Source organism: Homo sapiens, chromosome 4, assembly GCF_000001405.40.
Source record: "Homo sapiens chromosome 4, GRCh38.p14 Primary Assembly".
In the NCBI taxonomy this organism is placed as follows: Eukaryota; Metazoa; Chordata; class Mammalia; order Primates; family Hominidae; genus Homo; species Homo sapiens.
This window is the reverse complement of record NC_000004.12, coordinates 133253564-133269046: the sequence shown is the minus strand read 5'-3', so window position 1 is coordinate 133269046 and position 15483 is coordinate 133253564. Positions and strand designations below refer to the sequence as shown.

At 38.5% G+C, this 15483-nt stretch overlaps 1 long non-coding RNA gene across 1 annotated transcript, besides 2 other annotated features; it reads left to right on the top strand.

The window, feature by feature from the left end:
- Positions 519-813: an enhancer, noted in NCBI's record as "tiled region #13606; K562 Activating DNase matched - State 18:Pol2". NCBI's record gives its function as "activates a minimal TATA promoter and a strong SV40 promoter by Sharpr-MPRA in K562 cells {active_cell/tissue: K562}" and the evidence as "EXISTENCE:reporter gene assay evidence [ECO:0000049][PMID:27701403]".
- Positions 5078-5775: an enhancer, noted in NCBI's record as "OCT4-NANOG-H3K27ac hESC enhancer chr4:134184427-134185124 (GRCh37/hg19 assembly coordinates)". NCBI's record gives its function as "activates a minimal SCP1, AML or CMV promoter by ChIP-STARR-seq in primed H9 embryonic stem cells {active_cell/tissue: H9 hESC(primed)}" and the evidence as "EXISTENCE:reporter gene assay evidence [ECO:0000049][PMID:30033119]".
- LOC124900863 (uncharacterized) lies at positions 5932-10553 on the top strand. The gene is made up of 2 exons (XR_007058481.1): positions 5932-6418; positions 7053-10553. It is a non-coding gene; the product is annotated as an uncharacterized LOC124900863 (long non-coding RNA).
- Positions 10554-15483: the final 4930 nt, after the last annotated feature.

Below are 15483 nucleotides of genomic sequence, written 5' to 3'. Positions count from 1 at the left end.
GTGAATTCTGTCCACTTATTCCCTTTAATAATTATTGGTTGCTCCTCAAGAGAATGCTCTCCTGTAAAATGTTGTATACTTTTTCTCCTATTAATCTGCTTTTCTCCAGTTGATTTTCAATGGACTTTCAGAGGGTGATTGTCAGGCCTCTGAGCCCAAGCTAAGCCATCACATCCCCTGTGACCTGCACGTACACATCCAGATGGCCGGTTCCTGCCTTAGCTGATGACATTCCACCACAAAAGAAGTGAAAATGGCCTGTTCCTGCCTTAACTGATGACATTATCTTGTGAAATTCCTTCTTCTCACTCATCCTGGCTTAAAAGCTCACCTACTGAGCACATTGTGACCCCCACTCCTGCCTGCCAGAGAACAACCCCCCTTTTTCCTTTACCTACCCAAATCCTATAAAACGGCCCCACCCCTATCTCCCTTCCCTGACTCTCTTTTCGGACTCAGCCTGCCTGCACCCATGTGATTAAAAGTTTATTGCTCACACAAAGCCTGTTTGGTGGTCTCTTCACACAGACGCGCATGAAACTTGGTGCCGTGACTCAGATCGCTGGATTCAGAGTCCAGAGTGCTGACCATGACCCCTTCCACGACCCCTTATCTCTGTGCCCCGATCCCTTATTTCTATGCCCCGACCCCTTATCTCTGTGCCCCATCCCTTATTTCCGCGCCCTGACGTCTTATCTCTGATCACCGATCCCTTATTTCCACGCCCCGACCTCTTATCTCTGCTCCCCAACTCCTTATTTCCACACCCCGATGCCTTCCACACTTTTCTGGAGGGTAAGAACCCCCGAACCCCTTCCCTCCGTGTCTCTACTCTCTCTTTCCTCTGGGCTTGCATCCTTCACTATGGGCAAGCTTCTACCCTCCATTCCCCCTTCTCCCTTAGCCTGTGTTCTTAAAAACCTAAAACCTCTTCAACTCACACCTGACCTAAAACCTAAATGCCTTATTTTCTTCTGCAATGCCACTTGACCCCAATACAAACTCGACAGTAGTTCCAAATAGCCAGAAAATTGCACTTTCAATTTTTCCATCCTACACTATCTAAATAATTCTTGTCATAAAATGGGCAAGTGGTCTGAGGTGCCTGATGTCCAGGCATTCATTTACACATTGATCCCTCCCTGGTCTCTGTTCCCAGTGCAACTCATCCCAAATCTTCCCTCTTTCCCTCCTGCCTGTCCCCTCAGTCCCAACCCCAAGCGTCGCTGAGTCTTTCTAATCTTCCTTTTCTACAGACCCATCTGACCTCTCTCCTCCTCGCCAGGCTGAGCTAGGTCCCAATTCTTCCTCAGCCTCTCCTCCTCCACCCTGTAATCCTTTTATCACCTCCCCTCCTCACACCCGGTCCGGTTTACAGTTTCCTTCGGTGACTAGCCCTCCCCCACCTGCCCAGCAATTTCCTCTTAAAAAGGTGGCTGGAGCTAAAGGCATAGTCAAGGTTAATGCTCCTTTTTCTTTATCCAAATCAGATAGCGTTTAGGCTCTTTTTCATCAAATATAAAAACCCAGTCCAGTTCATGGCTCATTTGGCAGCAACCGTGAGATGCTTTACAGCCCTAGACCCTAAAATGTCAAAAGGCTGTCTTATTCTCAATATACATTTTATTACCCAATCTGCTCCCGACATTAAATAAAACTCCAAAAATTAAATTCCGGCCCTCAAACCCCGCAACAGGACTTAATTAACCTCGCCTTCAAGATGTACAATAATAGAGTAGAGACAGCCAAGTAGCAACATATTTCTGAGTTGCAATTCCTTGCCTCCACTGTGAGACAAACCACAGCCACATCTCCAGCACACAAGAACTTCCAAACGCCTAAGCCGCAGTGGCCAGGTGTTCCTCCAGAACCGCCTCCCCCAGGAGCTTGCTACACATGCCAGAAATCTGGCCACCAGGCCAAGGAATGCCCGCAGCCCGGGATTCCTCCTAAGCCGCGTCCCATCTGTATGGGACCCCACTGAAAATCGGACTGTTCAACTCACCTGGCAGCCACTCCCAGAGCCCCTGGAACTCTGGCCCGAGGCTCTCTGACTGACTCCTTCCCTGATCTTCTCCACTTAGCAGCTGAAGACTGACGCTGCCCTATCACCTCGGAAGCCCCGTAGACCATCAGGGACACCGAGCTTTAGGTAACTCTCACAGTAGAGGGTAAGTCCGTCCCCTTCTTAATCAATATGGAGGCTACCCACTCCACATTACCTTCTTTTCAAGTGCCTGTTTCTCTTGCCTCCACAACTATAATGGATATTGACAGCCAGGCTTCTAAACCTGTTAAAACTCCCCAACTCTGGTGCCAACTTAGACAATACTCTTTTAAGCACTCCTTTTTAGTTATCCCCACCTGCCCAGTTCCCTTCTTAGGCCGAGACACTTTAACTAAATTATCTGTTTCAATGACTATTCCTGGACTACAGCCACATCTCATTGCCGCCCTTCTTCCCAATCCAAAGCCTCCTTTGTGTCCTCCTCTTGTATCCCCCTACCTTAACCCACAAGTATAGGATACCTCTACTCCCTCCTTGGCGACCCGTCATGCACCCCTTACCATCTCATTAAAACCTAATCACCCTTACCCCACTCAATGCCAGTATCCCATCCCACAGCACGCTTTAAAAGGATAAAACCTGTTATCACTCGCCTGCTACAATATGGCCTTTTAAAGCCTATAAACTCTCCTTACAATTCCCCCATTTTACCTGTCCTAGAACCAGACAAGCCTCACAGGTTAGTTCAGGATCTGCGCCTTATCAACCAAATTGTTTTGCCTATCCACCCCATGGTGCCCAACCCATATACTCTCCTATCCTCAATACCTCCCTCCACAATCCATTATTCTGTTCTGGATCTCAAACATACTTTCTTTACTATTCCTTTGCACCCTTCATCCCAGCCTCTCTTCGCTTTCACTTAGACTGACCCTGACACCCATCAGGCTCAGCAAATTACCTGGGCTGTACTGCCGCAAGGCTTCACAGACAGCCCCCATTACTTCAGTCAAGCCCAAATTTCATCCTCATCTGTTACCTATCTCGGCATAATTCTCATAAAAACACACGTGCTCTCCCTGCTGATCATGTCCGACTAATCTCCCAAACCTCAATCCCTTCTACAAAACAACAACTCCTTTCCTTCCTAGGCATAGTTGGATACTTTCAACTTTAGATATCTGGTTTTGCCATCCTAACAAAACCATTATATAAACTCACAAAAGCTGACCCCATAGATCCTAAATCCTTTCCCCACTCCTCTTTCCATTCCTTGAAGACAGCTTTAGAGACTGCCCCTACCCAGCTCTCCCTGACTCATCCCAACCCTTTTCATTACCCACAGCCGAAGTGCAGGGCTGTGCAGTCAGAATTCTTACACAGGGACCTGGACTGCACCCTGTAGCCTTTTTATCCAAACAACTTGACCTTACTGTTTTGCCTAGCCCGCAAGTCTGCGTGCAGCGGCCACCACCACCCTAATACTTTTAGAGGCCCTTAAAATCACAAACTATGCTCAACTCACTCTCTACAGTTCTCATAACTTCCAAAATCTATTTTCTTCCTCACACCTGACATATATACTCTCTGCTCCCCGGCTCCTTCAGCTGTACTCACTCTTTGTTGAGTCTCCCACAATTACCATTTTTCCTGGCCCAGACTTCAATCCAGCCTCCCACATTATTCCTGATACCACAGCTGACCCCCATGACTATATCTCTCTGATCCACCTGACATTCACCCCATTTCCCCATATTTCCTTCTTTCCTGTTCCTCACCCTGATCACACTTGGTTTATTGATGGCAGTTCCACCAGGCCTAATCGCCACACACCAGCAAAGGCAGGCTATGCTATAGTACAAGCCACTAGCCTGCCTCTTAGAACCTCTGATTTCCTTTCCATCGTGGAAATCTATTCTCAAAGAAATAACTCCTCAATCTTCCATCTGCTATTCTCCTACTCCTCAGAGATTATTTAGGCCCCCTCCCTTCCCTACACATCAAGCTTGGGGATTTGCCTGCCCAGGACTGGCAAATTGGCTTTACTCAACACGCCCTGAGTCAGGAAACTAAAATATCTCTTGGTCTGGGTAGACACTTTGACTGGATAGGTAGAGGCCTTTCCCACAGGGTCTAAGAAGGCCACCACGGTCATTTCTTCCCTTCTGTCAGACACAATTCCTCGGTTTGGCCTTCCCACCTCTATACAGTCCTGTAATGGACCGGCCTTTATTAGTTAAATCACCCAAGCAGTTTCTCAGGCTCTTAGTATTCAGTGAACTAATGGTCTTTTAAAAACACACCTCACCAAGCTCAGCTACCAACTTAAAAAGGACTGGACAATACTTTTACCACTTGCCCTTCTCAGAATTCAGGCCTGTCCTCGGAATGCTACAAGGTACAGGCCATTTGAGCTCCTGTATAGATGCTCCTTTTTATTAGGCCCCAGTCTCATTCCAGACACTAGACCAACTGGGACTGCGCCCCCACCAAAAAAAAATAAAACTGTTATCTCTACTATCTTCTGTCTAGTCATACTCCTATTCACCGTTGTCAACTACTCATAAATGCCCTGCTCTTGTTTACACTGCCTGTTTACACTGTTTCTCCAAGCCACCACAGCTGATATCTGCTGGTGCTATCCCCAAACTGCCACTCTTAACTCCCTCTTAAAGTAAATAAATAATCTTTGCTGGCAGGGCTATGCTGAACCTCCTTAGGCACTCTCTAGTTAGATGTCGTAGGTCCTCCCAATTCTTAGTCCTTTAATACCTGTTTTTCTCCTTATCTTATTCCATTGTTTTTTCAATTCATACAAAATTGTATCCAGGCCATCACCAATAATTCTATAAGACAAAGGTTTCTTCTAACAACCCCATGATATCACCCCTTATCACAAAATCTTCCTTCAGCTTAATCTCTCCCACTCTAGGTTCCCACGCCGCCCCTAATCCCACTTGAAGCAGCCCTGAGAAACATCGCCCATTATCTCTCCATACCACCCCCAAAAATTTTCGCCACCCCAACACTTTACCACTATTTCATTTTATTTTTCTTATTAATATAAGAAGATAGGAATGTCAGGCCTCTGAGCCCAAGCTAAGCCATCACATCCCCTGTGACCTGCAGGTACACATCCAAATGGCTGGTTCCTGCCTTAACTGATGACATTCCACAACAAAAGAAGTGAAAATGGCCTGTTCCTGCCTTAACTGATGACATTATCTTGTGAAATTCCTTCTCCTTGCTCATCCTGGCTCAAAAGCTCCCCTACTGAGCACCTTGTGACTCCCACTCCTGCCCACCAGAGAACAACCCCCCTTTTTCCTTTACCTACCCAAATCCTATAAAACAGCCCCACCCCTATCTCCCTTCACTGACTCTTTTCGGACTCAGCCCGCCTGCACCCATGTGATTAAAAGCTTTATTGCTCACACAAAACCTGTTTGGTGGTTTTTCATTGGCTCCTACAATATTATTATTACCACTTTTTTATATATGAGGAAATTGAGGCACAATATGATTAAGTGACTTGTTGAAGGTCACAGAAATGACTAATAATGCTTATCTCTTTCAAACTAAACACCAATCATGCACATTTTTTCTTTAAAAAAAACAGTTTAAGGGTTAAGATTGTGAAAGGAAAATATCTTGGGCCCCTTCAAGCTGGGAACTGCTCAGGGCAAATCTGCCTCCATTCTATTCGAAGTCATCCCTCTGCTCACAGAGATAGAGGCACAGCCATCTGTCTCTCACCTACCAGTGACCTGGAAGCCCCTGAGGGGAGGGAGAGGGGGCGGGGGGAGGGCTTGCTTTCAGTTTTCTCCACCTTTCTGGAGGAACTAACGTACTTCTTCCATATATTGATTGATGTTTTGTGTCTCCCTAAAATGTATAAAACCAAACTGTGCCCTGACTACCTTGGGCATATGTCATCAGGATTCCTGAGGCTGTGTCATGGGTGCACACCCTCAACCTTGGCAAAATAAACTTTCTAAATTAACTGAGACTTGTCTCAGATTTTCTGGGTTCACATTTTGGTAACCACAGGGGGATTCTGAGTGGAGATACCCCTGACCTTTGACAAATATCCTGTTGGTGCTTGGTACCAGCATGAGCTAACTTTATGGTTCAAACCAATAGGACAATTTGCCGTGCACCCCCTCCAGAGAATCCCTGAGCTCCAAAAATTTGGTTGAGATCAAAAGTTTATTTTGCTGTACAACTCCTCTTTTTGAGGGAGTTTTACTTGCTTCCAACAGGAAGGCAGGTTTTCTTGCTTCCATGATGATGGAAGGCAGACAACTCCTTTATGGAGTTTGAGCTTGCTTCCAACAGGGAAGATGAGGTTTTTTTTTTCCTTCTTCTAGGATGGTAGAGAGCGGTCTACAGCCTGAGACCCATCACCAGGTAAGAAACTGGTTTGGGATTCTGTCTTGCAGGTTGCTTTTAAATGACTAAATTTAGCATTTAACAACCAGCTGGTGTTAATTTCTGCTTACACTTAGAGCCCTCAGAAATCGTATAATTTGTGTGTTCATTGGTAGTTTTGCTGAACTGTTTTGTTGTTTGTTTCTGTCTTGGTCAAATCCAAAGGGGAACCCTAAATTGTAGGGAACAAGGCCTCTGAAATGGGAGGAAAACAGCTAGCAAAATAGAAAAAAAAAAAAGAAAAGATTTTAATTTTAACTGCTTAAGGGGCTTTATTTACATAATAAGGGCACCTTTATGCCAGGCAGACCAAACTGAAAGAGCAATGGCTGTACTTCTGAAATAGAAGCATTTTGTCCTAGCTGAAATATGGTAATAAGATTTTCAAAAAAAATTTTTTAAGGAGCTCAGTGATTAAAAGCCAACTTAATTAAAAGGCTAGCATCCAAGATGTATGAGTGTCTGTGTGCAAGTTTGTATTTGAAAGGCCTTCATGTTTGTGTTTTTCTCTAATACCTTTTTCTTTTTTTTTTTGAGCAAAAGTTTTTTCTTTTTCTTTTTCTTAGTTGACTGAATTCTGTTTTCACCTGATTTTTTTTTTTTTCTAAAATAGCTATTGCAACAGAGGCTACTCTTTGGTTTTCAAGAAAGAGTGTGGCTGCGCGTGGTGGCTCATGCCTGTCATCCCAACACTTTGGGACACCGAGGCGGGAGGATCACGAGGTCAGGAGTTCAAGACCAGCATGGACAACCTGGTGAAACCTCATCTCTACTAAAAATACAAAAATTAGCTGGGCATGGTGGTGCGTGCCTGTAATCCCAGCTACTCAGGAGGCTGAGGCAGGAGAATTGTTTGAACCGGGACCCAAGAGGTGAGGTTGCAGTGAACCAAGGTCATGCCACAGCACTCCAGCCTGGGCTGCAGAGCAAGACTCCATCACAAAAAAAAAAAAAGTGTAGTTTAATTTTATGTATAATTTGGCTCAAAGAAAAATAAAAGCATCTCCCTCTAGCACCACCAGATTTTCTTCTCTCTGTACCTTATGATGCAAATTTTGCTATTTGATTTTCACCTGAGTTGTTTCCTTTAATGTGCAAATTTAAGGCTATTTAGCTGACAACTGCCTAGGATTGTGAAAGAGGTTATCAAGAATCTGAAAGTCTAAGATAGAAAAAAAAAAAATAGGGTGGGCGTTTCTTTATAAACCTATAAAATGTACTTCTATGGTCATGCCTAATATACATTGACATGTATTTATATGTTCTGTACAAAATGTTTCACTGCTAAAAATATATAAAAGAGCTCTAATTAATTGGCTTAAAGAAAATAAAAGCACTTAAATCAGCTACTAAAAAAGAAACGACTAGTCAAATGCTTTTTCAAGTTTATGTAACTTAAGTAAAATCTTTAATAAATAAGCTAGCTTTAAAATTATTGGTAAAGTAATATTAAAAGTGTCTTAAGGAATAACCAACATATATTTGTGTTGCATTTATTAATCAAGTAAATTTTATACTCATCTCTGTCAAATATATTTGTGTCAAAATTTGGCATAGGAGACACAAAACTATAAACCCAGCCCAAATCAGAATGATCTTTGTGTAATTTTTAATAAATTAGACATTTATATGGGTTTAATGAAAATAGCTGCATCTTGAATTTAGTAAGATTACCTTAACTTCTAATCCTGTGGTTTTAGGCAGTTTGGTTCACAGCCAATAAAGAGGTTTATTTTGGGAAAGGACTCTTATTGTCTTTGTTTCAAAGCTAAACTTTAAGTTCCTCTCAAAGTTACTTTGGCCTATGCCCAGGAATGAACAAGGACAGTTTGGATGTTAAGAGCAAGACGGAGTCAGTTAGGTCCAATCTTTTTTCACCGCCTCAATTATAATTTTCCAATGGTAGTTTCATAACTTTAAATCATGACTATCACAGTTTTCATAAATAATCTAGATAAACAATTACAATAAAATAAGTAAATGTAATGGAATAAATACTTGTAGTCAAACTGGTCTTAATTTAGAATATATGGTTATATTAAATTAAATGATAGATATTTCATTATTTGAGTATTTTCCAATAAATATATACTGTAGGAAAACATTCTTGCTAAAAGAAAGTGTCCTTTTTTAAAAAAAGGTGAACAAGTTTTGATTAATTCAAAGTTTATTTAAAGATTATGTATAAAACAAGGTAAAAGGAACCAGGAGTAAAAAAAATATGTAAAGAAAGTTGTAAAAATTAAGAGGTTTTTGTTTTTTGAGGTAAAAAAGCTTAAAGATAAATAATTTTATTTAAGAAATAATCTTCTGTGGTAAATTTAGTCCTAAAATAAAATAACTGGTTGTTTAAAAAGGAGGGATGTTCAGGAAAACCAAAAAGTCTGAACATGTGATGAACAGTAAGTGTAAGTCACAATAAGAAGATTTATATATATTTTTTAAATTATGTAATTAAATTGTCATATTATTATTAAGTTTTGGTTTGCTTAACAAAAGTGAGATACAATGTTTTTTTTAATTAAGGCTATTACATCCATGTATCTTCCTGTATGTGCTTTTAAAGTCCTTATAATACTGAGTTACGGGCTTTAACTCCTAAGTCTAAAAAGGACACCAAGTCCTGCTAAATCTTAAACACTGACAGCAATTAAAGCCTCATCTTCAGGCCCTGTAGAAGATGCCAATCAAAATAAACTGCATTCCTGAGACATAGGGCAAAAGAATTAAAGCTATTAAGTTCCTCAAGGCCCAGTGACTATCATGGAAGTGGTGGACATGTAAGATTACAAGGGCCGATTTTGAAAAATAAAATATATTCAGTTTCTCTATAAATTAATCATTAGTGTCAAAGGCACACTGATGCAAAACCAGTATATGGCCCCCTGTGTCAGATTAACAAGATTTTCTTGAAGCATTAACCAACTCCTTAATAAAGGTTATAAAAGGCCTATGGAAGCTATATTTTATAATCAAGATTAAATTTTATAGATTGTTTACAAAATTTTGGAAAAGAAAAGTAATTGGCTTCTTGCTATTTTTATTAGGGCTTGTTTAGAAAAGTAAGTCTCCTATCTCAAAGAATGAAGGTCTTCATCTTTTTTTTTTTTTTTTTTTAATCCTCGAGTTATCACTTTGGTTAAATAAATGACTTTACAATGACCTGTAATCCTCTTTTGTAATACCAAGTGTTTTAAACCTTTTATATTTGATGAACTTCCCAAAACTAAATTATAAATTATGTCTTTTTCTAATCTAATTAAACCTTTAAGACATTAGATTTCCTAAAGTCCAAAAATCACATATGTTGGCTTATTTGGTATAAAAATTTTACAGAAAGCATTTGTCAAACATGAAATGTTGTTTGGTTTTCTTTGGGTTGTATTTGTAGGAATATGTTATTGGTATGTGTTCCAAAATTATGAGAAACTCCTATAATTCTGATATAACAGTGTACATTATCAGTAATCATAATTGTTATGTTAAAATTATTGTGTGCCACAGAGTTAACAAATTTCCTTGTCAATTGTGTCTTTGAACTATGGCTGCCTTAAAACTTTTTTTTCATTCATGGACAATTGTTGTCTTATTTGGGCCTCTTTAGAAGGTGGTTTTATAATCAGCTATAAAACTCCAACAGGTGCTCTGAAATGCAGGTTTCTGATAACTTTGGGGATAGTGACATCAGAATAGAGGAAAAGCTTTCAGGACTCATGAAGAGCTAAAATGTTCATGAGTCTCAAGCAGAACAGGAATTAACTTCATGGATGGAACCAATCTTTTTGACTTTTGCTTAAAATGTTTGCTGATCCTTTTTTTTATTTTTCAGAACTTTTCTTTTGAGCTATTGACAGCTTTTAACAATTTAGTATACTTCTTATGAATAAAATTTGGAGCATATTTGTTTCTTTCTACCTTTGGAATTTGGAAACTATTTGTGACTATTGTTAACTTATGGCAATACAGTTATTTGCATAAGTGTAATTAGAATATATTTTCATTTGTAACAGGACACAATTGGAGAAATTATTTTACCAAGGCTTTGACTGGAATGATGTACTTTCCTTTAAAGAATAAACTTGACTTATGGAGCCAATAAAGCCCTTTTGAAAAACTGGCCTCATGTTTTATGTACACAGTCCATGTGCAGGGGTTCTGACCTGTGGTAAGTGAAGAATGTTACTTTCTGACAGGCACAGAAACCCCCAGGTTCATCTTGGAACCTCAAGAGGAGAGGTAATTCACCCAGTTCATAGGTATTTGATGGCACAAAGTCATGGCTGGGCTTGGCTTTAAAAAGTCTTGTCTGAGATTCATCCTATGGAACAAAGTTCCATCAAAGCCAATTTAAAAGCCTATGTAAAAAATAATTATGCTTGCTGTGCTGTATACAAATAATTAGGCCAAGTATAGTAAGCAAACCATTTCTACTATGATTTGTCTTTAGTAAAATGAGAAACTTGAGAAAAAAAAATTATGTTTTAAAATGATTGTATGCCTATTGTTAGATTCTAGTCTTGCCTAATGTTTTATTTTTCAGTGTTTATTATTTTCTACAGTTTGGACTGAATTGTAATTTTTCTAGGCTACAACTCTTCAAAATAATGTTTTTAATTTTTTCTCCTTTTTTTCCATTTTTCCTAATTTGAAGTCACTGAAAACTAAGCTGTGCTTTCTTGAAACCCTGCAAACTGAAGCCAGACAACTTAAACTTAAAAGAAAATAAAAGCAACCCATTTACATACATAAACCACTTTCATACCTGCCTACTAATGTATGGACTTCAGAGTAATGTGGCCTATATCAATTTTTCCAGGATTGTTCGTTTGTTGTTGTTTTTTCTCCCTTTCTCCCCTCTATTTTCTCTTCACAGGACATGAGACTTCACAATCTGCTAAAAATGAGCTTTTGGGACCTACTCATCTAGAAATAAACCATCCTAGCCATGAGAGATCAGATGAAACCTGAAGCCAGAGATTTATTTTTTTGTAAAATGCTTTCTACAAAAGATTTGAAAAAAGAAAAGGGGGGAAATGTGAAAAGAAAATATCTTGGGCCCCTTCAAGCTGGAAACCACTCAGGGCAAATCTCCCTTGCATTCTATTCAATGTAATCCCTCTGCTCACAGAGATAGATGCATATTCTGATTGGGCTTGCTTTAAGTTGTTTCTGTTTTTCTGGACAGAAATAATGGACTCCTTACATATATTGATTGATATTTCATGTCTGCCTAAAATATACAAAACCAAACTGTGCCCCGACTACCTTGGGCACATGTCATCAGGATTTCCTGAGGCTGTCATGGGTGTGTCCTCAACTTTGTCAAAATAAACTTTTAAATTAACTGAGATCTGTCTCCGATTTTCTGGGTTCTCAAGATTATTCCCTAGCTGTTAGAATTGTGGCCTTCTTTTTCATTGTTTCCAGAATTATATATTGGTGTTTAACAATAGCTGATTGAGTTGTTAATCTCTTGTGAATTTATTTTGGTTGTTCAGCTATTGTTTTGGATTTTTTTAAGTTATTTAAAATTTTCCAATTATACTAAAGATCTATCAGCAGCTTTTTAATAGGAATGTCCAAAAGTTGGAGTTCGAGAGAAGTGGAGGTAAGAAGGAATTTTGATCAATGTGCAAGCGTTACTTAAAAAAAAATTAAGTTGAACAGAAACTTAAGCCACCTTAAATGTTACACCAATTTATTAAGGACAGTACACTATATATAGGCCTGATTTTGCACTTATATCTGCATGAGAAAAAAATGAAAATTTAAGTTGCTATAGTCTCATGAAAGCATCTTTTGAAACTTAACACTTGATAGTCATTAAAAGAAAGAAATATGGTCTTTAGCAGGGAAAGAAAGAACTCATTAGCTATCAGTATTTTGTTTCACTTGATGTTACCATTTAAAATAAGTTAACAAGTTAGTATTCTGGCCAGGCGCGGTGGCTCATGCCTGTAATCCCAGCACTTTGGGAGGCTGAGGCGGGCGGATCACGAGGTCAGGAGATCGAGACCATCCTGGCTAACACGGTGAAACCCCGTCTCTACTAAAAATACAAAAAATTAGCCAGGCGAGGTGGCGGGCGCCTGTAGTCCCAGCTACTCGGGAGGCTGAGGCAGGAGAATGGCGTGAACCCCGCGGGGCGGAGCCTGCAGTGAGCCGAGATCGCGCCACTGCATTCCAGCCTGGGCGACAGCGAGACTCTGTCTCAAAAAAAAAAAAACAACAAGTTAGTATTCTAATTATAATATGACTATCACAAAAATGAATTACTTTACCAAGGCAGTCAAATTTCTATGGAAATTGTACTGGATGTGAATAAAAGGCCTATGCTTAGAGTCTTATCTTCCATTTTATAGTTCTGTGGCCTTGGGCAAGATACTTTAAGCTCGCTGATCTTTAGTTTCTTCACTTTTAAAGTGAAGATACTAAAATAGCTTATATTTCATAAGGATAAACTAGATAAAATTACCAAGGCTAAAACATATTGATATTTGTTAAGCCAAAATTCTTTAAAGAATCCTTTGACTAAATTAAAACTGAAAAGCTTAAAATAATTAGATTAATAAAGTCCAGCCATATAAAAGGTGAAAGCAGAACTGCCTGCTAGCATTACTATTTAATTAGTATTACTATTAAATTAATTTACATTCGTATTAAATCTTATAATTTATATTTATATATATTAGAAATATAATTTATTTATCAAGACAACTGTGTATACCATTAATTAGTTATTACGTGATAGCTGATCTGATATTTAAATGCAAGTTAAGGGTGTGATAACAGTACCCACACTATTGTCATAGTGGCCATTTGCCCTCTATCTAAATGAGAAAAAGTATTTTGGTGAACATTTAAGAAATCTGGATATTTTTCTGAATTAAGAATATTTTTCAGCTGGAGCCAAATGTCTAAGTTATTCACTATCATCATTTACACAATGTAATAGAAGCCTTACTCAAACCCAGATAGTTCCCTTTTTCACACTAACATGTACATTCTATTGTCTGCCGAATCTGGATATGAAAAGTGAAGAGAAGCTAAAATATTAATCCCATCTAACTAAGAAGGCTAATGTAAAACTAGTAAAAAATATAAGAATATCTTTTTGTTCCTTGTACAGTATTATCTATAGCAACCAATAAATTATAGTGCATATCAAATTAAACTCTAAATATGAACAAATTAAAGTATGTATGTTTGTGATGAAGAATTACTTTTGTTTTTTTCACAATTTACCACTTTAATATTAAAATGCAAGACTTGTAAACCTTTATTTTTGTTTATGTACAAGATGCTAAAAAATATATAAAGTTATGGATTTCAGTACTTAACCTGTGCATCACCAGCCCCAAAGGGCCGTAAGTATATGAAATATAGCAGCTGGGAACAGGATGAAGGTGTCTATTTTTCAAATACTTTATGTTAAAATATATTTGTTATAGAGACTCATTATAATGCTATCTGCAGGGCCTAGACCTAAGAAAACTGCCTTCTAAGGAAGGTATATTTCATTATGAGTCTCTTTGTAACTTACTATGTAAATTCTCTTGATTGTGACCCAATGATATCATTTAATATTAAATTACTTTACATGTCAAAAGTTTCTGATGTGTAAATGTATTTAAATGTGCATATATTAACACAAATTGAAGCATAACATTGACTTTTAAATTATTTATTACAGAGTTCTTTAATGATCAAATGTTCAGTATTTTATACTATACACAACATATAGTATTCAATACTCTAGATGGACTAGGTTAAAACTAAATATGAAATCTAATATTTCATTATTTGCCATTAAAATATTGTTGGAACCATGTTTGTATTCTCAAGAGAAGTCCATATCAAGTGATGGCAACTTATATTTTCTCTCTTTCCTGTTCCATAGTAATTTGAGTACTGCTTCCATAGTTGATTCAGTAGTCAACACGAGTTTATCAAAAAACAATTTTTTTTCACCAAATTAATTTAACTTTTGGTTTGGGTAGCATTTCCAGTTTATAATTGGGAGGAAGTTTTGGATGTAGCAGATGTTGGGTTTTAGAAATAAAACACGTACAGTCTAACAATTTGTCAACATTCTTTAGAGATTCTGGTACTGCATAGAAAGTTTGATTCATTCCCTTGTGTGACCTTTTCTTTTTTCTTTTCTTTTTTTTTTGAGACGGAGTCTTGCTCTGTGGCCCAGGCTGGAATGCAGTGGCGCAATCTCGGCTCACCGCAACCTCCGCCTCCCGGGTTCCAACGATTCTCCTGCCTCAGGCTCCCGAGTAGCTGGGATTACAGGCGTGCGCCATCACACCCGGCTATTTTTTCACTTTTAGTAGAGACAGGGTTTCACCATGTTGGCCAAGCTGGTCTCCAACTTCTGACTTTGCGATCCACTCACCTCGGCCTCCCAAAGTGCTGGGATTACAGGTGTGAGCAACCGCGCCCGGCCCAGCCTTTTCAACTACAATAATCGATGACAAGATCCTGTTTTCAGGGCTATTTGTTAGTTTCATTCTGTGCTACGAAAAGACCTTCAGTGGTTATGTTACTTGATCAATGGTGTGACTTCAGTGTGGCTGATTAGCTTTGTGATGCCTGTTTTCCCTCATGAGAGGGAAACAGTGTGTTTTGTTTCCAGTGTGTTTTGTTTCCGATTACTTAACAAACATTAATAACAGACACTGAATTTTGATATATACATATAATATATATTATATATAGTCAGTTTGTTTTGGCTTAATTCGAGAGTTAAGTTCAAAATAATATATATTATTAATATATAATAATAATAAATAATATATATAATATATATTTTATATATACATGTAAACATAAGTTGAAATCTTTATTAAGAACACTATTGACCTCTTCTATCCTGTCTTGGCCTAGGCCTTGGACGTTAGGTATTCTATGTATGTCTATGCAGACAACACATGGGATCTTTACTTATCTCTATGCTCTATACAATGTTACTCTTCTGTCTAAATCTTATTAAATATTTACTGTCAAATTCTCATACACACTTCATTTACTGTACTATT